The sequence below is a fragment of the Homo sapiens genome, chromosome 1 (genome assembly GCF_000001405.40).
Source record: "Homo sapiens chromosome 1, GRCh38.p14 Primary Assembly".
Classification (NCBI taxonomy): Eukaryota; Metazoa; Chordata; class Mammalia; order Primates; family Hominidae; genus Homo; species Homo sapiens.
Window position 1 is genome coordinate 145,919,013 of NC_000001.11, and position 27,693 is coordinate 145,946,705.

The 27,693-nt window shown below is 44.8% G+C and overlaps 2 protein-coding genes, 1 long non-coding RNA gene and 1 pseudogene across 6 annotated transcripts in view, besides 7 other annotated features; 2 read left to right on the forward strand and 2 right to left on the reverse strand.

The window, feature by feature from the left end:
- On the forward strand, positions 1-6,329 carry GNRHR2 (gonadotropin releasing hormone receptor 2 (pseudogene); annotated as a pseudogene). 3 transcript variants are annotated; one of them, NR_104033.1, is made up of 4 exons: positions 332-407; positions 668-888; positions 5,143-5,353; positions 5,803-6,329. The product of NR_104033.1 is annotated as a gonadotropin releasing hormone receptor 2 (pseudogene), transcript variant 2 (transcript). The 3 variants fall into 3 exon arrangements; NR_002328.4 differs by having other exon boundaries at positions 1-888; NR_104034.1 differs by lacking the exons at positions 5,143-5,353; positions 5,803-6,329 and adding an exon at positions 1,322-1,656 and having other exon boundaries at positions 178-407.
- Positions 231-290: an enhancer, noted in NCBI's record as "active region_1616". NCBI's record gives its function as "activates an Ori minimal core promoter by ATAC-STARR-seq in GM12878 lymphoblastoid cells {active_cell/tissue: GM12878}" and the evidence as "EXISTENCE:reporter gene assay evidence [ECO:0000049][PMID:35858748]".
- Positions 341-440: an enhancer, noted in NCBI's record as "active region_1617". NCBI's record gives its function as "activates an Ori minimal core promoter by ATAC-STARR-seq in GM12878 lymphoblastoid cells {active_cell/tissue: GM12878}" and the evidence as "EXISTENCE:reporter gene assay evidence [ECO:0000049][PMID:35858748]".
- Positions 2,544-8,472, reverse strand: RBM8A (RNA binding motif protein 8A). The gene is made up of 6 exons (NM_005105.5): positions 8,348-8,472; positions 8,006-8,065; positions 7,797-7,874; positions 7,470-7,606; positions 7,029-7,165; positions 2,544-6,915 (listed from the first exon to the last, which is right to left on the reverse strand). The coding sequence occupies exons 1-6, from the start codon at positions 8,412-8,414 to the stop codon at positions 6,870-6,872; spliced, it is 525 nt and encodes a 174-aa protein (NP_005096.1). The 5' UTR covers positions 8,415-8,472; the 3' UTR covers positions 2,544-6,869.
- Positions 7,408-8,607: an enhancer, noted in NCBI's record as "MED14-independent group 3 enhancer chr1:145507474-145508673 (GRCh37/hg19 assembly coordinates)". NCBI's record gives its function as "activates an origin of replication core promoter dependent on BRD2, BRD4, P300/CBP and CDK7 cofactors, and independent of MED14, by STARR-seq in HCT116 cells {active_cell/tissue: HCT116}" and the evidence as "EXISTENCE:reporter gene assay evidence [ECO:0000049][PMID:35650434]".
- Positions 7,408-8,728: a biological region, named in NCBI's record as "MED14-independent group 3 enhancer GRCh37_chr1:145507474-145508673".
- Positions 7,547-8,486: an enhancer, noted in NCBI's record as "H3K27ac hESC enhancer chr1:145507595-145508534 (GRCh37/hg19 assembly coordinates)". NCBI's record gives its function as "activates a minimal SCP1, AML or CMV promoter by ChIP-STARR-seq in naive H9 embryonic stem cells {active_cell/tissue: H9 hESC(naive)}" and the evidence as "EXISTENCE:reporter gene assay evidence [ECO:0000049][PMID:30033119]".
- Positions 7,819-22,191, forward strand: LIX1L-AS1 (LIX1L antisense RNA 1). Its single transcript, NR_147182.1, has 3 exons — positions 7,819-7,934; positions 8,052-8,457; positions 22,100-22,191. It is a non-coding gene; the product is annotated as an LIX1L antisense RNA 1 (long non-coding RNA).
- Positions 8,289-8,338: an enhancer, noted in NCBI's record as "active region_1618". NCBI's record gives its function as "activates an Ori minimal core promoter by ATAC-STARR-seq in GM12878 lymphoblastoid cells {active_cell/tissue: GM12878}" and the evidence as "EXISTENCE:reporter gene assay evidence [ECO:0000049][PMID:35858748]".
- Positions 8,579-8,728: an enhancer, noted in NCBI's record as "active region_1619". NCBI's record gives its function as "activates an Ori minimal core promoter by ATAC-STARR-seq in GM12878 lymphoblastoid cells {active_cell/tissue: GM12878}" and the evidence as "EXISTENCE:reporter gene assay evidence [ECO:0000049][PMID:35858748]".
- Positions 14,411-27,693, reverse strand: part of LIX1L (limb and CNS expressed 1 like) — a 24,595-nt gene continuing 11,312 nt past the window's right edge. Inside the window, exons 3-6 of the mRNA NM_153713.3 lie at positions 23,701-23,841; positions 18,592-18,687; positions 17,896-17,973; positions 14,411-17,540 (exon numbers count right to left, since the gene is read on the reverse strand). Coding sequence (NP_714924.1) covers positions 17,298-17,540; positions 17,896-17,973; positions 18,592-18,687; positions 23,701-23,841 — 558 coding nt within the window. The 3' untranslated portion in view covers positions 14,411-17,297. The remainder of the gene's footprint in view (positions 17,541-17,895; positions 17,974-18,591; positions 18,688-23,700; positions 23,842-27,693) is intronic.

Consider the following 27,693-nt stretch of genomic DNA (forward strand, 5'->3'; position numbering starts at 1 on the left):
GATCTCCACGTCTTGGAGGCCGCCGGCATAGGTGTGCGCCTGGCAGAACCTCACAAATACACATGCACGCAGGCCCCGACTGAATCCAGGGCTGTAGGGGCTAAAGAGGTCTAGGTCAGTAGAGGCCTGAAGCCCAGGCTGGTCTGTCCAAGGAAAAAGGAGCGTGATTGGTACCAGATCTTCGTTCCCTGCAGAACCTTGACAGTTGAACAAGTGACCTCCTCCAGAACAGATGGAGAGTCTCCAGAAGCAGAGGCTTTAGTGAACGAAATTCGCAATAATCAGCTCCAGATCCTGAAAAGGAGGGCGAAGAATCAGTGGCCAAAGCTAACCGCTTCATACCCACACTTCATCCTCCTCAGTTTCTCTCCAGGCCACCATGTCTGCAGGCAACGGCACCCCTTGGGGTCAGCAGCGGGGGAGGAGGTCTGGGCTGGATCAGGAGTGGAGGTGGAGGGCTCAGAGCTGCCCACCTTCTCGGCAGCAGCCAAGGTCCGAGTGGGAGTGACCATTGTGCTGTTTGTTTCTTCGGCTGGAGGGAACCTGGCAGTCCTGTGGTCAGTGACACGGCGGGAACCCAGCCAGCTCCGCCCCTCTCCGGTCAGGAGACTCTTCATCCATTTAGCAGCCGCCGACTTACTAGTCACTTTTGTGGTTATGCCCCTAGATGCCACCTGGAATATCACTGTTCAATGGCTGGCTGTGGACATCGCATGTCGGACACTGATGTTCCTGAAACTAATGGCCACGTATTCTGCAGCTTTCCTGCCTGTGGTCATTGGATTGGACCGCCAGGCAGCAGTACTCAACCCGCTTGGATCCCGTTCAGGTGTAAGGAAACTTCTGGGGGCAGCCTGGGGACTTAGTTTCCTGCTTGCCTTCCCCCAGGTGAGTGACCTAGGACTCAGGACCGGGCAGGACAGGGATTTGGGTCCATAGCATGAGTTAAAGGGTGCGCTTGGGGGCCATTAGCCATTAATTCTCAGGGAGTAAGCCTCTGCTTGCTTTTTTTTTTTTTTGCCGGCTCACTGCAACCTCCGCCTCCCGGGTTCAAGCAATTCTCCTCCCTCAGCCTCCCGAGAAGCTACAGGCGCCCGCTACCATGCCCGGCTAATTTTTGTATTTTTAGTAGAGGCGAGGTTTCACCATGTTGGCCAGGTGGTCTCCATCTCTTGACCTCATGATCCACCTGTCTCAGCCTCCCAAAGTGCTGAGATTACAGGCGTGAGCCACCGCACCCTGCTACCTCTGCTCTCTCTTCTGTAAGATTATTTGTATGTTAATTTACATCTGTTAAGAGCCTGCCTTTTCGATTCCTCAGGGATCTAGAACTAGAAATACCATTTGACCCAGCCATCCCATTACTGGGTATATACCCAAAGGACTATAAATCATGCTGCTATAAAGACACATGCACACATGTTTATTGCGGCACTATTCACAACAGCAAAGACTTGGAACCAACCCAAATGTCTAATAATGATAGACTGGATTAAGAAAATGTGGCACATATACACCATGGAATACTATGCAGCCGTAAAAAATGATGAGTTCATGTCCTTTGTAGGGACATGGATGAAATTGGAAATCATCATTCTCAGTAAACTATTGCAAGGACAAAAAACCAAACACCGCATGTTCTCACTCATAGATGGGAATTGAACAATGAGAACACATGGACACAGGAAGGGGAACATCACACTCTGGGGACTGTTGGGGGGTGGGGGGAGGGGGGAGGGATAGCATTAGGAGATATACCTAATGCTAAATGACGAGTTAATGGGTGCAGCACACCAGCATGGCACATGTATACATATGTAACTAACCTGCACATTGTGCACATGTACCCTAAAACTTAAAGTATAATAATAATAATAATAATAAAAGAGCCTGCCTTGTAAAAACAGTATCCTCTATCTGTGCCTCTTCCATTACATCTGTTTTATTACACGTGGTTTCTACCTCTTTGCATCCTCCCAATCTCACCTCCTTCAGATTGGGGCAGGGAAGAAAAACATACATGGGGATCTATTAAGAGAGTGAAGTCAGTGGTTTGGGTAAAACTTTGTGGTACATTTCATTTATCCATTCAAAAAGTAATATGCATCTCCAGCGCCACTCAAATTTTGCTAAGGACAGGGCAGCAAAATCCTGCCTTCAAGAAATGTATAGACTACTGCAAGAAACAAAGAAATTAGGCAATTACAATATAGTGTATTCAAAAGTGTTATGCTAAAGGAGCTAAAGAAGACAATGGGGGTGGGGAGTGGATAGGGGTGTCTGACACAGCCGTGCAGTCAGGAAAAGCTTTCCAGATGTTAAAATTTGATTCTTCAGAGATAGGTGTTAGACCAATTAAAATAGGAGAAATGCTAGGGAGGATGGAGGATAGAGGATCTCAATGCTACTAAAGCTGAGGACTAGAAAATGGTGAGTAATGAACTGAGAGGGGAAGAGCAAGCCAGATCACAAATAATAAAATTGTACTTTATTCTGAGTGCAGTGGAGAGACACTAAAGTAAAAAGAGAGTGACATAACCAAATTTGTGTTTTTTACTGACTTTATTGTCGAATGAGTGTTAAAATTGCAAAGAGGCGAGCATCTGAACCTGAGTACTAGGTTAATCAAATCTCAAATCCAATCCAATACTGAAAAGGAACTAGAAATCTAGAGGGGGAAAAGCTAAATACAAAGCAATTCCTTCAAGGCAAAAACCACTATCACTATCATGGGGTTGGGGGGCAGGATACAACAGCATCTCTGAGACTGTAGGATTAGAATTATGTCAGAAGGAGGCCAAGAAGGGTCTAGGATTTATCTCTGGAATGACAATGCATTATACTGATTTAAGATTTGATCCTTACTTACATCCTCAATTATTAGAAATATAACTACTAGAAGTTAGTCTGACTATACTCCTAAGAACAAAGAAAGGCCTGGTGGCTCAAGCCTGTAATCCCAGCATTTTGGAAGGCCAAGGTGGGTGGATCACTTGAGGTCAGGAGTTTAAGACCAACCTGGCCAACATGACGAAACCCCATCTCTACTAAAAATACAAAAATTAGCCGGGTATAGTGGTGAGCACCTGTAATCCCAACTACTCAGGAGGCTGAGGCACGAGAATTGCTTGAACCTGGGAAGTGGAGGCTGCAGTGAGCCAAGACTGCACCACTGCACTCCGGCGTGGGCGGCAGAGCCAGACTCTGTTGGGGGTGGGGTGGGGGGGAAAGAGAAAAATAATACTTCTAATATGTTGCAAACAAGACCTTTACCAATCCAAGTGTTAAAAAGAAGCCTGTTGCTACAGTGCCATTTACAATTAGGTTTGTTTATATGAAGCAAATTTTACATGTGGACTGGGAATTAGAAGACTTTTTGTTTCAGTCTGCCTGTTTTACTTTGTTTTTTTCTGAGTCTCGGCTCTACTGCTAACTAGCTATATGATTTTGGCTAAGGCACTTGAAATCCATGGGCCACAAGATGATGCAATGGGAAATGAATTTCATCCTTTCTTACAGCCTGACAATCTGACAATATTTGCAACCTCTATTTGTTTCAATGGCAAACTGGTTGTGACATGATACATGTGCGAAAGGTGATTTTTTTTGTTCCAAATTAGTATCCTTTTAGGTAAATTCTGTATTGCCCATATGCTGTAATTGTAGTTAAAATATTAGTGTTAATAAAATAAAAAATTTAATAATGTCACGTTAGAGTGGTAAGGGCTTAGGGGTAGTTATAGGTAGTATTAGGAGTAGTTAGAAATTACTTATTTTTGTAGGCTTGTTTCCAAGTTATCAGCAGTTGAAAGGGATGTTTCTACAGTACGTGGTAAATGGCAATAAAACAGGATAAAGGAAAGATCAAAACAAGGCTGTGGACCAAACTATAAATCCAAGAGCTTTGATTATTATTTTTTTTTTTTTTGGAGACAGTCTTACTCTGTCGCCCAGGCTGGAGTGCAATGGCGCAATCTCTGCTCACTGCAAGCTCCGCCTCCTGGGTTCAGGTCATTCTCCTGCCTCAGCCTCCCGAGTTCCCAAGTAGCTGGGACTACAGGCACCTACCACCACGCCCGGCTAGTTTTTTGTATCTTTAGTACAGACAGGGTTTCACTGTGTTAGCCAGGATGGTCTCCATCTCCTAACCTCGTGATCCGCCCGCCTCAGCCTCCCAAAGTGCTGGGATTACAGGCGTGAGCCACCGCGCCCAGCCAGCTTTGACTATTTTTATACTCCTCACAATTCTCAAGCACTTCTTAGGCAGAGCACAAAAACAAAAACAAAAAAAAAAACTTAGAAATATATGAATGCAAGAGATGGGAAGAGGAAAGACCATTTCCCAACTAGCTCAGAGTAGCCTGATCGTAACTCCAAACAGTTCACAAAATTCTCTTAGGCTGAAACTATTCATCTTTCCTAAATGTCCCTCATGTCTGCTAAAATCACTTTCCCAAATGCCTTGTATCTAGGAATCTGATGCCTACTGAGCTTACCTTTTATCAAATTAATAGTGACTCAATCTCCATTACTGGAAAGCAGGCACTTTAACCTTGTAGCTCTAAACAGAAATAGTTTTTACTGATTCAGTTGGAAAACCCAGCAATTTAACAAAAAGGGGGAGGGGCAGCCCAATAGCATTTGGAAAATGTTAAATTTTATTATTTAACATTCTTTACCATTATAGTTACTGCACATAAGACTATTACTACTAAAGGTCACTTCAGAGTCCCTGCAAAATGGCCTGGAATTTTGGCAGCACCCATTTTACACAATATTTCTTTTTCCACAAAATAACAGACATACCAGGAAAATCATTTCAGCTAAAAATATGAGTGAGGTGGTAGAAATATCATCCCTTATAAAGCGCAATGTTAGAATAGTACTTGAGAAAGCAGGATTGTTTTAAGTTCCAAGATTTAACAAACTTACTGTTCAGCATCATATTCAAGCCTAAAAGGAAGATAGGATTTTCAAGATATATTTCCAACTTCTTTAACATGGCACCATGGATGAACTGTTTCTCAGCACTGTGCTGCTTCACTTGGAATTAAGGATGAATTGGGAGGAGACAGTATGACATAGGTGGGTAGGTTGGGTGGTGAGGGGAACCAGTTCTAATAGTCCTCAACTCCACTCCAGCTGTTCCTGTTCCACACGGTCCACTGAGCTGGCCCAGTCCCTTTCACTCAGTGTGTCACCAAAGGCAGCTTCAAGGCTCAATGGCAAGAGACCACCTATAACCTCTTCACCTTCTGCTGCCTCTTTCTGCTGCCACTGACTGCCATGGCCATCTGCTATAGCCGCATTGTCCTCAGTGTGTCCAGGCCCCAGACAAGGAAGGGGAGCCATGGTGAGACTCCAATTCCCAGGCCTTAATCCTTAACCCTAGACCTGTTGCCTCTAGCATCATTTATTTATCTACCTACCTAATAGCTATCTACCAGTCACTAAACCATGGTGAGATTCTAACCATGTCTAGCACCTGATGCTAGAGATAATTTTGTTGAATCCCTTCAATTATAAACAGCTGAGTTAGCTGGACAAGGACTAGGGAGGCAATCAGTATTATTTATTCTTGAACACCATCAAGTCTAGACTTGGTGGCTTCATATTTCTATCATAATCCCTGGGGGTAAGAAATCATATAGTCCCAGGTTGGGAAGGGGAAAACGGTTTGCAACATTCTCCTCCTTGTAGGAGGCGAGCTCTGTCTCACTAGCTATGCCCCTCCATCAATTCACCCTATACTCAGATCAGAAGCTGAGTGTCTGAATTACAGTATATTTTCTAAATTCCTAGCCCCTGCTGGTGAATTTGCCCTCCCCCGCTCCTTTGACAATTGTCCCCGTGTTCGTCTCCGGGCCCTGAGACTGGCCCTGCTTATCTTGCTGACCTTCATCCTCTGCTGGACACCTTATTACCTACTGGGTATGTGGTACTGGTTCTCCCCCACCATGCTAACTGAAGTCCCTCCCAGCCTGAGCCACATCCTTTTCCTCTTGGGCCTCCTCAATGCTCCTTTGGATCCTCTCCTCTATGGGGCCTTCACCCTTGGCTGCCGAAGAGGGCACCAAGAACTTAGTATAGACTCTTCTAAAGAAGGGTCTGGGAGAATGCTCCAAGAGGAGATTCATGCCTTTAGACAGCTGGAAGTACAAAAAACTGTGACATCAAGAAGGGCAGGAGAAACAAAAGGCATTTCTATAACATCTATCTGATCCTAACAGAGTATGTAGGAACAGAATAGTAAGTCTTTAGTGCCATAAGATCTTAACATCTCACTTCTACTCCTGCTCTCCTAGTTCCCCCCAAAAAAGAAATACTGACCAGTGTCTCTACTTTAAACCCTACCTGAAACTTGAGACTATGTCTAATATAGAAACTCACATAACTAGCCCAGGTAACACAGCAAGACCCCATCTCTACAAAAATATTAAAAATTTAGCTGGGCATGGTGGCATGTGCCTGTAATCCCAACTACTAGGGACAGTGAGGCAGAAGGATGGCTTGAGCCCAAGAGTTTGAAGCTGCAGTGAGCTATGATCAGCTGCAATCCACCCTGGGTAACACAGCAAGACTCTATCTCAAAAAAAAGAAAAAAAAGAAATACATAGAGTTCAGTCCCTAGAAGTATCTTCACAATGATCCATACAGCCTTGCTATGCTTTAGAACTTTCAATTTTAGGACAGGAAAGTAACATTAAATGTAGAAAACAAAAATGGAACATTTATTCGCAACTCAAATACTACGCATATACGGTAAGAGATTAAATATAAACACAGCAAGTTCCACCCCAGTCCTATTTGTCCAAGGCTGCATGGTCAAATGGAATCTTGAAGAGAACACCTGGACAACAGAGGACCTGTCAGCGACGTCTCCGGTCTGGACTTCTGCTGCGTCTTCGGCCACCTCTAGGGAAAAAGAAGCAGGGAGAGGAGTCCATTAGAGGGACATAATACTAAGTCCTCATTCTGTTTCGTTCGTATTCCCTTCACCCAGACAGTATTTGCCCTCTTCATTTTACCTCCTCTTGCCTTTTGGTGGACCCCGAACAAAACACCAGTCAACGCTGATGGGCTGTCCCATCAAATCCTGGCCATTGAGTCCCTCCATAGCAGCCTGGGCTTCCTTGTATGTTTCATATTCAACTAGAGTATACCCCTGGGGAAAGTGAAAAGACAGATATGAAAACCCTCCTATTTCCCCAAGTATCACTGAGTATCTTTTTCCTCAAATCTAAACTCAGAAAAATCTACACACTTTAAACAATGAATGTACATCATATATCTCTACTGTATATATACATCATCTCCGTTTCTGTCTCTTTGGCGTGTCTGACAAAACATAGATTTCCAATGTCATTTTATTTCAACTTTGCTCTTGGCCAACCACAGCAAACACAGAACTACGAATGCTACCTAAGGCTTATGAAAGAAAGGAGGCAATAAAGTGTCACTTAGGATACCTTCAGATATCCTGTTCGCCTGTCGAGGTTGAGATGAATGTTTTTAATTTCCCCATATTCTGCGAATTTGTCGTGTATGTCTTCTTCGGTGGCTTCCTCATGGACTCCAGTTACAAAGAGAATCCAGCCTTCAACAGCTGTTGGGGGACGGGGGGAAGTTGTATGAGTACATGAGAGACACTTTAAGCAGGCTCACAGGAATAGAGTGAGTGCGGACTCAGATTGTTTAAGCTATCTCTGAACCCATTCCTACTGCGTTTAACTATTTTATTGGTTTCTAACTACTACCACAGACACGGATACCTCACAGGTTCCATTATTACTCACAGCGTTGTGGTCCGGGTTCATCGCCATCCTGCTCCACGCTGTCATAATCCTCACGCATCCGCGCTCGGGACCCCTCTTCTATAAGGGACATACACGAGATCACCGAAAACTCCTCCTTTCTCCCATTGTTCCTATGAGGTGGGTGGGGACTCCAAAACCCGTAGCTCCTGCCCTACTAGGCCACTCTACCCCATTTTCCCCACACTCACCGGAGCCAAAGCCGCGACCCTTCCGTTTCTTCGCTTTTTCTTTCAGTTTGTGAATGCTCTCTGGAACCCCAGAAGATAAAAGAATAAGTAACTATGACAGTCATTTGTAACAATCGTCTCTTTCCCAATACACTACCAGCAAGCCGACCCACACCGCCTCCAGTCTTAGTGCCTTCCCGGTCACGCCCTCCCTTCTCCTGAAGGGGGCGGAATCTCTAATCCACCCAAGACCCGGTTCCTCGATTCCCATCCTTACGACCGAGGAAAAAAGAGTAAATTTTCCTATTATAGCCTTCTCTCGCACCTTCCCCGCTTCCCACCAGCCGTCTCCACTGTCCTCACCGTCCCCATCCTCATCCATGGCGAAATCTTCGCCCCCAGCCTCGTGAAGATCTAGCACGTCCGCCATCTCGCCTTCGATCGAGATCTCGTCTGTGCCGCTCAGACACTAGGTACCTCGGGAAACTGTCGCAGAGGGGAAAGGTCGCCAGTCAAGCTGACCAATCAAAGGCTAACTCTAAATCCCTCCCTCTGCACGGTAAAAACACGCAAATTGGGGCGGGCCTAGTGCGGAAAGATACCGGAAGTGTTTCTGTGGCCATCTTGAACAGATCGCAAGCTAAATCATCCATCTTAGGAGGTACAGACTACAGGGGGCCGTGGCTTCCTCTTAACCGCGGCAGCTGCTGATAAATACTGTACTATTAACAGTGAGGCCCGGCGTAATTTCCTTATTAGAGGGCTTCTTTACGTCTCTTCATCCCAAACTGGGAAATGGTAATTGAAGAAACCCTTTTCTTTCAAAAATCCCAGGCCTGTACCCTGTCTTTAGGCAGCGTGGTGTATGATAGGAGCGTTTTTAAAAAATAGTTTGATCAGCAGTGAGGGCATAAAGAGCTGCTTCTGGAACCTGCAGCACCAAATTTCTCTTCAGGAAACTAACAGACTTGGTTGCAATACGGTTGGTGAGACAGATATCAATTTTTTTTTTAAATATAAAACTCCCTGCCTGTAATCCCAGCTACTAGGGAGGCTGAGGCAGGAGAATCGCTTGAACCCGAGAAACGGAAGCTGATTAGCTGGGCGTGGTGGAGTGCACCTGTAATCCCAGCTACCTAGGAGGCTGAGGCAGGAGAATCAGTTGAACCCGGGAGACGGAGGTTGCAGCGAGCCGAGATCTTGCCACTGCACTCCAGTCTGGGGGACAAGAGCGAGACTCTGTCTCAAAAAAAAAAAAAAAAAGTGAATAAGAGTAAAACGAAAAATAAAATTTAAAAAGCGATTAGGAGACACTAATTCATTCTCCACAGTAGGTACTGTGATCATTTTAAAAATCAGTTGGTTACATACCTACTAAAAATCCTTGTTGTTGTTGTTTTGAGACGTAGTCTCGCTCTATCACCCAGGCTAAGAGTGCAGTGGTGCAGTCTCGGCTCACTGCATCCTCTGCCTCCCGGGTTCAAGCAATTCTCCTGCCTCAAGCCTCCTGAGTACCTGGGACTACAGGCGCCCTCCAAGCCTCCTGAGTACCTGGGACTACAGGCGCCCCCCCCCACACACACACACACACCCGGCTAATTTTTGTATTTTTAGTAGAGACGGGATTTCACCATGTTGGCCAGGCTGGTCTTGAACTCCTGACCTCAAGTGATCCACCAGCCTCCACCTCCCAAAGTGCTGGGATTACAGGCGTGAGCCACTGCGCCCGGCCTAAAAACCCTTTTTGTTAGAGGGGTTTGGTTATACTACCCAGGCTGGCCTGAAACTCGCCTCCCAAGCATCTGGGACGACAGGGGTGTAACCATGCACCCGGCTCTTTCCTTGGCATTTTGCTGCACTTAGAATAAAAATTCAAACTCACAAAGCCTGCTCTGCCTGTGTTTTCAACCTGTTCAACCACCGTTCTTCTCCTTCACCCATGAAGCTCTCCTTGCTCTTTCGCCCAACTGTGGTGTGCTCTTTCTCATCCCAGGGCTTTTGCAACTTGGTTTGTTTTGTTTTTGAGACGGAGTCTCACTCTGTCACTCAGGCTGGAGTGCAGTGATGCGATCTTGGCTCACTGCAACCTCTGTCTCCTGGGTTCAAGGCTTCTCCTGCGCCAGCCTCCCGATTAGCTGGGACTACAGGCGTGCGGCACCACACCTAGCTAATTTTTGTATTTTTAGTGGAGACGGGGTTTCGCCATGTTGGCCAGGCTGGTTTCTAACTCCTGACTTCCGGTCATCCGCCCTTCTCGGCCTCCCAAAGTGTTTGGATTACAGGCATGAGCCACTGCTCCCCGCAGCTTTCTGTTCCTGGTGCTCTTCCTCTAGCTTTTCACATATTGGGTTCGACCTCATTTTTTTTTTTTTTTTTTTTTTTTTGAGATGGAGTATCGCTCTGTCACCCAGGCTGGAGTGCAGTGGCACGATCTCGGCCCACTGTAACCTCCACTTACTGGGTTCAAGCGATTCCTCTGCCTCAGCCTCCGGAGTAGCTGGGACTACAGGCACGTGCCACCACGCCCAGCTTTTTAAAATTTTTTTAGTAGAGACGGGGTTTCAGCATATTGGCCAGGCTAGTCTTGAACTCCGTACCTTGTGATCCACCCACCTCGGCCTCCCAAAGTGCTGGGATTACAGGCGTGAGCCACCGCGCCCGGCCGAGTTCGACCTCATTTTTAAGATCTCAATAGTACTGTCACCCAAAGGGGTCTTCTCTACCCTCCTGTCTTTAACTGTGTATTTCCTTCACAGAACTTAAATCAGAATCTTCTTTCATTCTTTTTTTTTTTTTAAGACAAGGTCTCACTCTGTCAACCAGGCTGAGTGCAGTGGTGCAATTATGGCTCACAGCAGCCAACCTCCCAGGCCCAAGTGATTCTCTTGCCTCAGCCTCCCGAATATCTGGGACTACAGGCACACGCCACTGCACACGGCTAATTTTTAAAAAATCTTTTGTAGAGACGGAGTCTTGCCATGTTGCTTAGGCCAGTCAGAATCTTTAATTACCTTGTTTACTTTCTAACTTGTTTATTGTCTGTTTTTCCCGTTAGAATGTAATCCTTATAGCAGAGATAGTTATTTACAACTAAAATCCCTGAAGTTTAGCCCAATGTCTGGCTCATGGTAGACATTTGGTAGATACTTATCGAATGAATGAATATTAGAATGGCAGGAAATTCTGTCTGCCCGATGCTATGTGACTGGAAAATAAAGCTGGAAATACAGTTTAGGGTCTGCTGTGCTAAGGATTTTGGAATTTATCCTATAGGCAAGAAATTTACCTACTTCAAATATTTGAGTATTCATGGTTTTTAATATTTGAAAATAGCCTCCATACTAGTTGTTGCTTATTATTTTTCCTTAAATAGACTGACTTTAAACATAAATTTACACTGAAAGGAAAATCAGTATTTTTCTACTACGAATTCAGATAAAAGCACAACTATTAAAAACTGTTTGCCCATCTATCATCTAAAATCATCTCAGGAACACATATAAAACTGGGAAATGGTAGGCCAGGCATGGTAGCTCATGCTTGTAAACCCAGCACTTTGGGAGGCCGAGGCAGGTGGATAGTTTGAGTTCAGGAGTTCAATACCAGCCTGGGCAACACAGCAAGATCCACCTCTACAAAAAATTTAAAAAGAATTACTTGGGTGTGGTGGTGTGTGCCTATAGACCTAGCTACTCTGGAGGTTGAGGTGGGAGGATTCCTTGAGCCTGGGAGGTGGAGGCTGCAGTGAGCCAAAATCACGCCACTGCATTCTGGCCTGCTCATTAGAGTGAGACCCTGTCTCAAAAAAAATAAAAAAAAACTTTGGGAAATGCTGCTAAAGGTAAAGATAGTTCAGTGATGGCTTAAGCAAGGGAGTGTCACAGTCATAAGTATTTTATAAAGAAATATGACAGTAGTATGGAGGATGTTAAGAATGGAGGTGAAGACCAGCTAGGAAGCTATTGTAGTGATCCAGTCTGGAGATGAGAAAGGACCAAACCTAAGCTCAGGCAGTAAATATGGACAAAACATATTAGGAGGTAGGCCAGGCGCAGTGGCTCACACCTGTAATCCCAGCACTTTGGGAGGTTGAGGCGGGCGGATCACCTGAGGTCGGGAGTTCGAGACCAGCCTGGCCAACATGGTAAAACCCCATCTCTATTAAAAATAAAAAAATTTGCCACGTGTGGTAGTGGGTGCCTGTAATCCCAGCTACTTGGGAGGCTGAGGCAGGAGAATCTCCTGAACCCAAGAGGCAGTGGATGCAGTGAGCTGATACTGCACCATTGTACTCCAGCCTGGGCAACAAGAGCAAAACTCTGTCTCAAAAACAACATATTTACATTATGGTAGAGGAGTTGAGGGTGGATCTGAGGTGTGTGGCTTAGGTAACAGTGTAGATAATAATTCTAATAATAGATCGGCGGGGCATGGTGGCTTACGCCTGTAATCCCAGCACTTTGGGAGGCCCAGGCAGGTGGATCACCTGAGGTCAGGAGTTCGAGACCAGCCTGGCCAACATGGTGAAACTCCATCTTTACTAAAAATACAAAAATTAGCTGGGCGTGGTGGCGGGCGCCTATAATCCCAGCTACTCAGAAGGCTGAGGCAGGAGAATCGCTTGAACCCAGGAGGCAGAGGTTGCAGTGAGCCGAGATCGCGCCATTTCACTCCAGCCTGGGGGACAAGAGCAAGACTTCGTCTCAAAAATAATAATAATAAGAATAATAATAATTCGAATAATCTAGAGAGTCAAAGAGGAATGAGTATGGAGAAATGTTTTTTATTTTCGATATGTTTCAAAGTGCTTTTGTCATATTCAGATGGCCGTGTCAAGTATGTGGAAAGTAAATGTAAAAGCTTAAAACAGGTTGGGGAGGAAGAAATAGATTTGAGAGTCATGTGTATAGTGGAGTTCAAGTCACCATAATGGGTGAGATTGCCAGTGGGAGTAGGTAGAGCTTGAGGAGAAAAGACCAAGGACAAACTCCAGGTTAAATATCTGCAGAAAGGGAGGCAGGCTGCCTTATGCAATCATTTCTACCACCCCAAAAATGCTAATAAAATTTTTTTTTTTTTTGAGATAGAGTCTCACCCTGATGTCCAGGCTGGAGTGCAATCACTCAGTCTCGGCTCACTGCAACCTCCACCTCCTGGGTTCAGGTAATTCTCCTGCCTCAGCCTCCCAAGTAGCTGGGATTACAGGCGCCCACCACCATGCCCAGCTAATTTTTAATTTTTTTTAGTAGAGATGGGGGTTTCACCATGGTGGCCAGGCTGGTCTCGAACTCCTGACCTCGTGATCCACCCGCCTCGGCCTCCCAAAGTGCTGGGATTACAGGCATGAGCCACCGCACCTGGCCTAAAAATTCTTCTTTAGTATATATGTAAAAGAACAGGGATGTTTTAGAGCTTCTTGTGGGGAAAAGAAAGGGAGACCAGATTGTTACTGTGTCTGTGTAGAAAGAAGTAGACATAGGAGGCTCCATTTTGTTCTGTACTAAGAAAAATTCTTCTGCATTGAGATGCTGTTAATCTGTAACACTACCCCCAACCCTGTGCTCCCTGAAACACGTGCTGTGTCAACTCAGGGTTAAATGGATTAAGGGCTGTGCAGGGTGTGCTTTGTTAAACAAATGCTTGAAGGTAGCATGCTTGTTAAGAGTCATCACCACTCCCTAATCTCAAACCACTTCCTAATCTCAAGTACCCAGAGACACAAACCACTGAGGAAGGCCGCAGGGATCTCTGCCTAGGAAAGCCAGGTATTGTCCAAGGTTTCTCCCCATGTGATAGCCTGAGATATGGCCTCGTGGGAAGGGAAAGACCTGACCGTCCCCCAGCCCGACACCCGTAAAGGGTCTGTGCTGAGGAGGATTAGTAAAAGAGGAAGTAACACCTCCTTGCGGTTGAGACAAGAGGAAGGCATCTGTCTCCTGCTCGTCCCTGGGCAATGGAATGTCTCGGTGTAAAACCTGATTGTATATTCCATCTACTGAGATAGGGGAAAGCCACCTTAGGGCTGGAGGTGGGACATGCGGGCAGCAATACTGCTCTTTAAGGCATTGAGATGTTTATGTGTATACATATCCAAAGCACAGCACTTAATTCTTTACCTTGTTTATGATGCAGAGACCTTTGTTCACGTGTTTACCTGCTGACCTTCTCTCCACTATTATCCTATGATCCTGCCACATCCCCCTCTCCGGGAAACGCCCAATAATGATCAATAAATACTAAGGGAACTCAGAGGCTGGCGTGGATCCTCCGTATACTGAACGCTGGTCAGCTGGGCCCAGTTTTCTTTCTCTATACTTTGTCTCTGTGTCTCTTGTTCCACCTAACGAGAAACGCCCACAGGTGTGGAGGGGCAACCCACCCCTTCACTTTTGTAATATATAGGTCTCAAGAAAGAGTCAGTCTGGCTCACTAGACAAAAATCTATTTTTAATTGTATAAAATTATACATATAAAATACATAGAATGTACTAAGAAGATGAGTAAAATCTTTGACACCAGAAGTGGACAGATCAGGAAACAATTTTTCTCAAGTTATTTGGGATCTTACTGGTTGGTATTTGAGAAAAATAATAAATCCAGGAGGTACGAGGGCAATTCTTCCCACAACTCACACCCCTTAATCCACACGTCCCAGAGAAAGGAGAAACAGGAGTGTTGATGAGTGCCAGCTTATAAATGTCAAACAGACACACCTGGTGTGTCTAGCTGTTTTTGCCTTTACTCCAACCCGACGTGTTTCATGGAATACAAACATGGGGCTTCTACCCCAGCTCTCTTCTGATTAGTAAGAAAAAAAAAATGATAGGGCCTGGAGAATTCAAGGAAGCCCGTTTCAAGCACTAATAAAATTGTAGCTGGATTCCTTACCTCTTACCCAACATGATTTCAAAAGCAAGAAAGTTGCCTTTCATCTTGCCCCTATCAAATCCAAAAGAGCCAATTATAGCCTGTTTCATAATCTATTTTTATTGTTGTTGTTACACTTGAACTTTCTGTTTGGAACCTAATCTATTTCTAAAAGCAAAGTCTGTATAATTGTTAAGTGGGAAGTCCAATTGCAGGAATACTAAATGTTCCAAGCTCAGTTTAGAAAGTACATGGGACAATAATATAGTATAAATAAGAGATCACAGAGACAAGGGGGAAATATATATTAGAGACCTCCAAAAAAATTCTCTGAAAGGAGAATACTTTAGCTGCTGTACTACAGGTTATTTCTCTCTTATGTCACCCAGGAGAGAAGTGGGGGAGAATGGTGTTAAAAACACAAATAGTGCCGGGCGCGGTGGCTCACGCCTGTAATCCCAGCACTTTGGGAGGCCGAGGCGGGCGGATCACGAAGTCAGGAAATCGAGACCATCCTGTCAAACACGGTGAAACCCCGTCTCTACTAAAAATACAAAAAAATTAGCCAGGCATGGTGGCGGGCGCCTGTAGTCCCAGCTACTAAGGAGGCTGAGGCAGGAGAGTGGCGTGAACCCGGGAGGCGGAGCTTGCAGTGAGCCGAGATAGCGCCACTGCACTCCAGCCTGGGCGACAGAGCGAGACTCCGTCTCAAAAAAAAAAAAAACACACAAATAGTTTGGGAGGCCGAGGCAGGTGGATCACGAGGTCAGGAGATGGAGACCGTCCTGGCTAACATGGTGAAACCCCGTCTCTACTAAAAATACAAAAAATTAGCTGGGCGTGGTGGTGGGCACCTGTAATCCCAGCTACTCGGGAGGCTGAGGCAGGAGAATGGTGTGAATCTGGGAGGCGGAGGTTGCAGTGAGCCGAGATCGCGCCACTGCACTCTAGCCTGGGCGACAGAGCAAGACTCCGTCTCAAAAACAAAAACAAAAACAAAACCAAAAAAAAACCACAAATAGGCCAGGCTCAGTGCCTCACGCCTGTAATCCCAGCACTTTGGGAGGCTGAGGCGGGTGGATTACCTTATGTCAGGAGTTCAAGAACAGCCTGGCCAACATGGTGAAACCCTGTCTCTACTAAAAATATAAAAATTAGCCAGGCGTTGTGGCGTGTGCCTGTAATCCCAGCTACTCGGGAAGCTGAGGCAAGAGAATCGCTTGAACCCTGGAGGCAGAGGTTGCAGTGAGCCGAGATCACGCCACTGCACTCCAGCCTGGGCAAAAGTGTGAGACTCTGTCTTCCAAAAAAAAAAAAAAACCACACACACACACAAATAACTGATCATTGATTCTCTTTCCCTTCCTGCAGTCTCCCAAGGTGTCAATTAGGAAGTGCCAAAATACTAAAGTCTCATTTAATTTTCCTGATCAACTTATGTTCTAATAATTAATGTGGAAGGAGAGGAAAGAAAGAGAAAACAAATGAGAATCTAAGGTAGTAAACAGCAGCAACTTAGCGGGAATAAGGGGAACATGGTTCTCACTAACCAAATAGGACTGATAACGCTTCCAAAAAATAAAATGTTAGGTGAAGGGAAATATGGAAATATGTTTTACTTTCTACTAATAGCTGCAGGCAGGAAGGTCCAAACGCAGGGTTTAACTAAGCTGGGGGAGTAGGGGAGATGTTTAGAGGGAATACTGAAAGAGAATCAGTTTCAACCATAACCCCCATCTACTGTAGAGTATATCCAGAAATCTAGACTACTAGTATGGTATACATATGCCCTAGAAGCAACTTAGGTAGTAAACTCCCATGAATTGTTTGTAATTTATCTTGTCCCTGGGCAGTTTCTTAGGAGGGGTTTCAGAAGCAAGATCTCTACTTCCTTCAGAATAATAAGGTAGGGAAGGAAGCCTCAAAACAAAGTGGCAATTTGGAGGCAGAGAAGGAATAAGGTAGTGGTGGGGAGGAAAGGGATAGCAAGCAGGTTCAGTTCAGGAACTAAAGGCAAAATCTTCATACTCATACCCTGTTTGAGTCCAAGAGGAAGCAGGAATGAGAGTAAGGGTGGGGCACATAATCCTTATTCAAGTTACCTGATATTTGAAAAGAAGGACACATGAACACTAGAGTTAATCTTTTAGTGCTACTGAAATGGCTACACAGTTAATCTGGAAGTTTAAGAGCTAACAAAGCTGCAAAGACAAGCTGCTCTTTGTTGTAAAGTGGACTGAAGATGTTTCAAATAAAACTACATCCAAAAACTGGTAGTAAGAAAAGGGATCTCTTAGCAAATAGGAATCTAGGTGTAGAATTTATACACATATATATTTTTTAAAGTATAAAAATGAGAAAGTATGTACAAAAAATCATCCTAAATCTTAGAAAGGAGACATAAAAAAAGGCTGTGGAAAGCCTGGGGAGTTATGTGGGTGGATGCCTAGCAGTTGGAAGAATGCATATTGCCCAACTGCCCAGCAGCCAGCACAAGAATATCTTTCTTCTCCTTGTGGAAGCGCAGCTCCTTGCCTGCCAGTCGGGCTTCATCCAGCTCCCGCTCAGTAGAGGCCAGCTCTCTAGACAGTGCCCCCGGCACACTCTGCTCCCGGCTCACCCAGTCCAAGGCCATTTGGTGGCGAATATCATCATCCAGGGCCCGGTGCGAATAATGAGCCAACACCTCCTAGTAGGGGAGGGGAATGTGAACATCATTGAGAAGGTAAAGGTTCATATCATACCACACTGACCCAACTGGGACTAAGAACTCAGCTTTAGAGACCTAACTGAGGTCAGCACCTAAGTTCTTCAAGGAGATTCTTAAAGGCACTTCCTGCTACGGGAAGCAAGATAGACAAAAGAATCACAGCTAATATTTACACAGGAAAGATTATAGGAATGAAGAGGGTACTTAGGTAAGGCTTTCAATATTCACAACCATAGGTCACAATAGACCTTATTTCTAACATAGTAACCACCTCAAAAGAGTCCACTGACAGATTGTGCTCCCCTCATTCGCCCCCACTCATAAAATCTCTTACCTGCCGAGAGCATTGTCGTTCCCTCATGGCCTTAAGGCTGCCATTCCAGTGTAGCAGTTGAAAAACTGTCATTAGCTCCTGGGGGAAGAGGATAGGAAGTACCAGGACAGTGATTTTTATATTGGGAGGTTGCATCAGAATTACATGGGAAACCTTTTACAAAATGGATTTGTAGAAGCATCTCTCATCACTAACTCTGATAGGCCTTTGGGGAAGAAAAATATTTATTTATTTATTTATTTATTTATTTATTTATTTATTTATTTACTTACTTACTTACTTATTTGAGACAGAGTCTTGCTCTGTCACCCAGGCTGGAGTGTAGTGGCGCAATCTCAGCTCACTGCAACCTCTGCTTCCTGGGTTCAAGCAATTCTCGTGCTTCAGCCTCCCAAGTAGCTGGGATTACAGGCATGTGCCATCATAGCTAATTTTTGTATTTTTAGTAGAAACGGGGCTTTGCCATGTCTCAAACTCCTGGCCTCAAGTGATCCACCCGCCTCAGCCTCCCAAAGTGCTGGGATTACAGGCCTGAGCCACCATGCCCAGCCAGGAAGGTATTTATTTTTGAAAAATAGTGTAACAACCTTCTTTCTTTTCCAGTATCAATGAGTTAGGAATTAGTAGGAGCCATTATATATTACAGTAGCAGGCTGACCCATGTTATTAGAACCAGGGAAGTACATGGGAAAGTACCTGGAACTCCAACATTGATTTGCCCTTGTTGGATTCCAGCATGAATCGGAAGGCACCAATCCCTGTATTTGGGTTGTCAGCTTCCTCCCTGTTGCCCTGGTAGTAGAGGAACAGAAAAGACAAATAGATTTTCAACCAGGATTATCATCTCAAGCAGCACTGTCCAGTAGAAATATAATGCAAGCCACATATTTAATTCAAAATTTCCTCTCTGCCACATTAAAGTAAAAATAAAGAGGTAAGTCCAGGTGCAGTGGCTCATGCCTGTAATCCCAGCACTGTGGGAGGCCAAGGTGGGCAGATCACTTGAGGTCAGGAGTTTGAGACCAGCCTGGCCAACATGGTGAAACCGTGTCTCTACTAAAAATACAAAAATTAGCCGGGCATGGTAGTGGGTGCCTGTAAATCCCAGCTACTCAGGAGGCTGAGGCAGGAGAATCACTTCAACCTGGGAGGCGGAGATTGCAGAGATCGGGCTACTGCACTCCAGCCTGGACAACAGAGTGAGACTCTGTCTCAGAAAAAAAAAAAAACAAGTAAAATTAATTTTAATAATATATCTTATTTAACCCAATATGTTCAAAATATTATTTTTCAACTGTAGTCAGTATAAACATTATTAATGAAATATTTTACATTTTTGTACTGACTTTCTGAAATGTGGTATAAGTGTGGAAATTCTGGGTAGCAGTGTGGTCTCCTGGACATTGGCCTATTGTGTCTTCTATTGGTTATGTAACCCTGCAGGGTTAGAATTAAGACACACTGTCCTGCATTCAAGCCTAGCATGTAAAAAAACCAATACAGCATAGAAGTTAAGAGCATGGACTGGAGCTCCTACAAATAGCGTGGCCTTGGTAAAGTCACTTAACCTCTCTGTTCTTCAGTTTCCTCTTCTGTAAGATGGGAATAATCATAGAGCTACCTTAAATGATTGTTTTGAGAATTAAATAAAATTTTAAATTAAAAATAAAAATTTCCTTTTTTTTTTTTTGAGACGGAGTCTCATTCTGTTGCTCTGTCGCCCAGGATGGAGTGCAGTGGTGCGATCTCGGCTCACTGCAACCTCCGCCTCCTGGGTTCAAGTGATTCTCCTGCCTCAGCCTGCAGAGTAGCTAGGACTATAGGCATGCGCCATCACGCCCGGCTAATTTTTTTATTTTTAGTGGAGACGGGGTTTCACCATGTTGGCCAGGCTGGTCCTGAACCCCTGACCTCAGGTGATCTGCCTGTCTTGGCCTCCCAAAGTGCTGGGATTACAGGCGTAAGCCACTGTGCCTGGCCCAGCATTTACATGTATTAGGTATTATAAGTACTCTAGAGATGATTTAAAGCATTTATTCAGGAGGATGTGCATAGGTTATATGCAAATACTGTACTTTTTTTTTTTTTTTTGAGACTGTGTCTCATTCTGTCTGTCACCCTGGCTAGAGTACAGTGGATGGTCACTGCAGCCTCAATCTCCCCAGGATCAAGTGATCCTCTTGCCTCAGCCTCCCAAGTAGCTGGGATCACAGTCAAGTGCCTCCATACCCGGCTAATTATTTTATTATTTTTTTGTAGAGATGAAGTCTCTTTATGTTGCCCAGGCTGTACTGTGCTATTTTATATGAAGGACTTGAGCATCCTTGGGTTTAGGTGTCCTCGAGAGATCCTAGAACCAATCCCACACAGATCCCAAAGGAAGACTATGGAACCATAATTTTTTTTTTTTTTTTTTGAGATGAAGTCTTACTCTGTCGCCCAGGCTGGAGTGCAGTGGTGCGATCTCAGTTCACCGCAACCTCCACCTCCTGGGTTCAAGCGATTTTCCTACCTCAGCCTCCCACGTAGCTGGGACTACAGGTGTGCACTACCATGCCTGGCTAATTTTTGTATTTTTTAGTAGAGATGGGGTTTTAACACATTGGCCAGTCTGGTCTCGAACTCCTGACCTCAGGTGATCTGCTCACCTCAGCCTTCCAAAGTGCTGGGATTACAGGCATGAACCTCAGCGCCCAGCCAGGAACCATAATTGCTTTCTTTTTTCTTTTTCTTTTTTTTTTTTTTTTTTGAGACAGGGTCTCACTTTGTCACTGAGTCTGGAGTGCAGTAGTGCAATCTTGGCTCACTGCAGCCTTGACCTCCTCACTCAAGTGATACTCCTGTCTCAGACCCCCAAGTAGCTGGGACTACAGATGCATGCCCCCATACCCAGATAACTGTTTGTGTTTTTTGTAGAGATGGAGTTTCGCCATGCTGCCCAGGCTGGTCTCCAACTCCTGAGCTCAAGTGATCTGCCCGCCTCAGCCCCGCAAAGTGCTAGGATTACAGGCGTGAGCCACCACACCTGGCCTAGAACCATAATTTCAATAACAATGAATTTAGTTATTTATTTTTTGAGACAGAATTTTGCTCTTGTCACCCAAGCTGGAATGCAATAGCACAATCTCGGCTCACTGCAACCTCCGCCTCCTGGTTCAAGTGAGTCTCCTGCCTCAGCCTCCCAAATAGCTGGAATTACAGGCGCCCGCCACCACACCCAGCTAATTTTTATATTTTTAGTAGAGGCAGGGTTTCACCATGTTGGCCAGGCTGGTCTTGAACTCCTGACCTTAGGCAATCCGCCCAACTCCGCCTCCTAAAGTGCTGGGATTACAGGCGTGAGCCACCGCGCCAACAATGAATTTAGAGCCCATGATCAGATAAATACTGCACATCCTACTTTCCATAATCCACAGTTTCTTTTTTTTTCCTTTCCTTTTCTATTTTTTTTTTTTTTTGAGACAGGGTGTCACTTTGTTGCCCAGGATGGCGTGCAATGGAATGATCTCAGCTCACTGCACCTCCATCTCCCAGGTTCAAGCGAGTCTCATTCTTCAGCCTCCTGAGTAGCTGGCATTACAGGCATGTGCCACAATGCCCAGCTAATTTTTGTATTTTTTCTTTTTTTTTTTCCTTTTCTTTCTTTTTTTTTTTTTTTTTGTGAGACACAGTCTCGCTCTGTCACCAGGCTGGAGTGCAATGGCGTGATCTCGGCTCACTGCAACCTCTGCCTTCCAGGTTCAAGTGATTCTCCTGCCTCAGCCTCCCAAGTAGCTGGGACTACAGGCGCGCACCACCACACCTGGCTAATTTTTTTTTTTTTTTTAGTAGAGACGGAGTTTCACCATGTCAGCCAGATGGTCTTGATCTCTTGACCTCGTGATCTGCCCACCTCGGCCTCCGAAAGTGCTGGGATTACAGGCATGAGCCACCGTGCCTGGCCAATTTTTCTATTTTTAGTAGAAATGGGGTTTTGCCATGTTGGCCAGGCTGGTCTCGAACTCCTGACCTCAAGTGATCTGCTGGCATCCACCCCACAATGTGCTGAGATTACAAGCGTGAGCCATCGCGCCTCGCCCTGTTTCATTTTATAATACCATTAGGTGACCTAAAAGTAGCAAATGTACTTTCCAAAAAATTTTAGCTGGCTTTTTCTTTTTTTATTTGGTTTGGATTAATATAAAAATGTTTTCATTCCCTGCAGATGCTGTTGACTGGGGCAAAGAATAATGGGAGAAAAACAGCTGGGTCCTAAATAACAGAGGGAAACCAACTTTCAATAAAGTATTCAACAACTAATCCACAAAGCAGATAACTGAAGTAATTTAGTATATGTAATTACATCTTTTTTTTTTTTTTTTTTGAGGCGGATTCTTGCTCTGTTACCCAGGCTGGAGTACAATGGCACAATCTCAGCTCATTGCAACCTCTGCCTCCCAGGTTCAAGCAATTCTCCTGCCTCGGCCTCCCGAGTAGCTGGGATTACAGGCGCCCACCACTGCGCCCAGCTAACTTTTGTATTTTTAGTAGAGATGGGGTTTTGCCATGTTAGCCAGGCTGGTTTCAAACTCCTGGCCTCAGATGATCCGCCTGCCTCAGCCTCCCAAAGTGCTGGGATTACAGGCATGAGCCACTGCACCTGGCCTGTAATTACATCTTAATTAAATGCAAATAGAACAGATACTTGGTCTGACTATTAATGAATTTGTGGAGAGGAAGGAAGATGGCGGTGTTAATTTCTAAGATGTAATTAAATTAAGTCAACTTGGGTTCTAATCTTGGCGTGACCAATTACTAGCTATATCATGTTAAGCAACATTCCACTTCTGTGTTTTTAGTCTCCTCATCTGTAAAATAGGGGTAATAATAGTACTTACACCTCATAAGATTGTTGTGATGATCAAATGAGGTAAAATGCATATAAATCCCCTAGAACAGTCCCTGCCACAAGGTAAATACTCAATTAGGATTAATTATGGTTATTCTTCTTTTTTGAGATGGAGTCTCACTCTGTCGCCCAGGCTGGAGTACAGTGGCGCAATCTCGGCTCACTACAAACTCCGTCTCCCGGGTTCAAGCCATTCTCCTGCCTCAGCCTCCCAAGCAGCTGGGACTACAGACGCCCCCCACCATGCCCGGCTATTTTTTTTTTATTTTTTGTAGAGACGGGGTTTCACCGTGTTAGCCAGGATGGTCTCGATCTCCTAACCTCGTGATCTGCCCGCCTCGGCCTCCCAAAGTGCTGGGATTACAGGCGTGAGACACCGCGTCTGGCTAATTATGGTTATTCTTATCATCATCATTTGAAAGAACAGTTGTAAATAAAGAGAGTAAATAAATTATCCTCCTTGTTCCTAAAAAGACGTTTTGTTATAAAAGTCTTCTTTATCAATAAGATGAAGTAATGGAGGCAGGAGACAAGTGACAATAAAAAACAGTCATAAAAAAAGAACTGCAGAAACTAAGGTCTTAACCCAAATTAGCAAAAGCAAAATTGAAGCTCAATTTTCATTTTGGAATAGCTCTACAATTCCATAAATCTGCAATTAAAGGTTTCTAGATACCAAAGAGACACAATGAAAGAGACAAAACAACAAAAAACACATAAACACAGATACAGAACTAGAGACTGCGACAGGTGGAGCACATGACACAATAGACTGACAGAGAATAAATCAAAAGAACAGAGAGGTGGACCAGAAAGAAAACAAGAATTCATGCTCTGTTTCACAGTAATTTACGACTTCCCAAGCAGCCAGTTCTCCCATCTCCCACTCTCCTTCCTTCCAGCTCCATACAACTTACATTAAAAGATGCCAGGGCCTCAGAGACACTCTTCTCGATGAACTCATCAGTGATTCTTCGGGAAGGATGTTCATTAAACACAGAATTCATTAGCGCAATCTTTGCAGCACTCCTCCGGGCCTCAGCTTTTGTGGGGCAAAACTAGGCAGGGGAGAAAGAGTGAGAATATGTGTATTTGTGCATATGAGAGAGAGGAAGGAACAGTGGGAGGGAAACACTTCAGATAGAAAACACTTGGACGCTCTTTGGATAAATCAGTTGTGTTCAACACACTTTCCAAGGTTTTTATGGTAAAGTGGTTGGGATGTTTGGAAACATAATTTTGATTCAACATCCTGAAGTCATTAAGGAACTGGGAGAGGGCTGTAGCTCATACCAAACTGAATGCAGAACGAGGAAGGCTGCTTAAGTCAGCATATAATCACTGGTCATGAAAAATACCCGTTTAAACTGTCGACAGAATTAGTTACTCAAAAGTCAGATTCTGGCCGGCTTAATAGAAATCTGTATCTTGTTCTGCGGACAGGTAAGGTTTTTTGGATTCCTCTAGATAACCCAAGATTAGAACCAAAGCTGTGTCTAGGCTGCTTCTACAGAGGCCACTGGTCTCTATCAGAAGCACCCATCTTGGAATCTCGGACTTCATTTTTAGCTGTGAGCAGGCATTTTCTCAAATAACGTAGTGAGCCAAAGGAGCTATCCCTGAGAAGGGTTTAAGTCTGAAGAAGGAATTTATAGACTTCTTTTTTCCCCACAGTGGAAACAAAGAGGAGAGGAGTAACTAAGGGAAGGAAAGCTGACTTAAGAAGGAAAAAAATAAAAATTAATTCATGTTTTTATATTGTATCCAACATAGGTATCATAGAACAAGTCTGATCTGCAGAAGTCTCAAAATTATTCAACTTCAGATCTCTAGCCACCATAGTATTCCTTTATAATTCATCTTTATTGGCTGTCTCAAAGGCCTCTTTGCCCTATGTCATTTATGAGTAATTAGAGGAAAGGAAGAAAGTGATGTTGCAGTTTTTAAAAGTAGACCAAGGCCGGGCTTGGTGGCTCACACCTGTAATCCCAGCACTTTGGGAGGCCAAGGCAGGAGGATCATTTGAGCCCAGGAATTCAAGAATAACCTGGGCAACATAGCAAGACCCCTGTCTCTACCAAAAAAAAAAAAGAAAAAATTAGCCAGGCATGGTGACACGTGCCTGTAGTCCCAGCTACTCAGGAGGCTGAGGCAGAAGGATCACTTGAGCCAGGAGTTCCAGGCTGCAGTGAGTTATGATCACACCACTACACTGCAGCCTGGGTGACAGAGTGAGACTCTGTCTCTAAAAGAAAACTTAAAATAAAAAGTAGACCAGGGGTTGGGCATGGTGGCTCATGCCTGTAATCCCAGCACTTTGGGAGGCTAAGGCAGGAGGATCACTTGAGGCCAGGAGTTTGAGACCAGCCTGGGCAACATAGTGAGATGCCAACTCTACAAAAAATTTAAAAATTAGCTGGGCATGGTTGTGGTGCACACCTGTGGTCCCAGCTAGTCAGGAGGTTGAGGTGGAAGGATCACTTGAGCCTAGGAGTCAAGGGTGCAGTGAGCTATGATTGTGCCACTGCACTCCAGCCTGGGCAACAGAGCACAACTCTGTCTTAAAAAAACAATAAATAAGTAGACCAGGATGTGTTTAGTACTTAAGCATCCCTAATATCAATAATTCCTAATTTCTATTAACTGACAGGCTCTCTGAGACAGCATATGAGGCTTGGTAAGTAAGTCCTAAGTCTTCCCAGTGCTTCAATTTGTCTGTTTCTATTTGTCTGTTACTAGCTTGCTGGCCTGCTCTATAGTGCTGTTGCTTAAAAAGTCATCTGTGAAGAAAACCAGAGGGAGAAATTTCACCTGCCAAAGTGGATAAAGAGGTATAAACTCAAACCCATCTTGAATTTGAGCAGTTATGGATATGCCCTTGCTCAGTATATCGGACTATCAACACCCAGCCCATGTTCTAATCTAGCTTCAGTTATTGCACCCTGCCCCTGGCTGGGCGAGGTGGCTCACACCTGTAATCCCAGCACTTTGGAAGGCTGAGGTGAAAGGATTGCTTGAGCTCAGGAGTTTGTGACCAGCCTAGGAAACATGGCAAAACTCCATATCTACCAAAAATACAAAAATTAGCCAGGCATGGTGGCATATGCCTGCGGCCCCAGCTATTCAGGAGGCTGAGGTGGGAGGATCACTTGAGCCCATGAAGTTAAGGCTGCAGTGAGCCATTATTGTGCCACTGTACTTCAGTCTGGGTGACAAGAGTGAGGCCCTGTCTCAAGAAAGAAAAAAAAAAAAAAGCTGGGTGAAGTGGCTCATACCTGTAATCCCAGCACTTTGGGAAGCTGAGGCAGGCAGATCACCTGAGGTCAGGAGTTCAAGACCAGCCTGGCCAACATGGTGAAATAATACAAAAATACAAAAATTAGCTGGGTGTGGTGGCCGGAGGCAGAGGCAGGGAGAACTGCTTGAACCTGGGAGGTGGAGGTTACAGTGAGTCAAGATCACACCACTGCACTCCAGCCTGGGCGACAGAGCAAGACTCTGTCTCAAAAAAAAAAAAAAAAAGTTTAGGCTAAAAGGCCAAGAAAGACAATTCTCCTCTTTCCAAAAATAACAGAAATCAAATTACTATAATGTTTCAGTTATGGGCATTGTCATAAAATTTTCAAGTCATTCAACAATGTAATGAGGTGGGAAGAAGAAGGAAAGATCAGCCAGGCACGGTGGCTCACGCCTGTAATTCCAGCACCTTGGGAGGCCGAGGTGGGCGGATTGCTTGAGGTCAGGAGTTCGAGACCAGCCTGGCCAACATGGCGAAACCCCATCTCTACTAAAAATACAAAAAATTAGCTGAGCGTGGTGGCAGGTGCCTGTACTCCCAGCTACTTGGGAGGCTGAGGCAGGGAGAATCGCTTCAACCCGGGAGGCAGAGGTTGCAGTGAGCTGAGATCGGGCTGTTGCACTCCAGCCTGGGCAACAGAGCGAGACTCTATCTCAAAAAAAAAAAAAAAAAGAAGAAGGAAAGATCTTATTCTCTTAGAAGTGAAAGCACAGGCTGGGCGCAGTGGCTCACACCTGTAATCCCAGCACTTTGGGAGGCCAAGGCGGGTGGATTACAAGGTCAGGAGATTGAGACCATCCTGGCTAACATGGTGAAACCCTGTCTCTACTAAAAATACCAAAAAAAAAAAAAAAAAAAAAATTAGCTAGGCGTGGTGGCATGCGCCTCTAGTCCTAGCTACTGGGGAAGGTGAGGCAGGAGAATCACTTGAGCCCAGGAGGCGGAGGTTGCAGTGAGCCAAGATCATACCACTGCACTCCAGCCTGGGTGACAGAGCAAGACTCCATCTCAAAAAACAAAAAAACAAAAAAACAAAAAAAAACAAGTGAAAGCATAAACATTTGTCATCTTGGGTATATAGTTATTTCTCTGAAATGACTGAAGTTCTTTTTTTTTTTTTTTTGAGCCAGAGTCTCACTCTGTTGCCCAGGCTAGAGTGCCGTGGTGCAATCTCAGATCACTGCAATCTCCGCCTCCAGAGTTCAAGCAATTCTCCTGCCTCAGCCTCCTAAGTAGCTGGGATTACAGGCGTGCACCACCATGCCCAGCTAATTTTTGTATTTTTAGTAGAGACGGGGTTTCACCATGTTGGTCAGGCTGGTCTCAAACTCCTGACCTTGTGATCCACCCGCCTCGGCCTCCCAGAGTGCTGGGATTACAGGTGTGAGTCACTGTGCCCGGCCTGAAATGACTGAAGTTCTAAGGGAAAAAATTTCATCACCTGATTTGAAATGAAGCTTCCTTAGGACTGCTTCTGTTTGAGGCAGAAACTAAGCTGCAATGGCACTCATTCATGCAACAGACGTATTATTTGCCTACTATCTGCTAGGCACTAAGATGGGTGGTAGGGATTTAACGAGAAAGAAGACAAACACAATCTTTGCCTCTATGG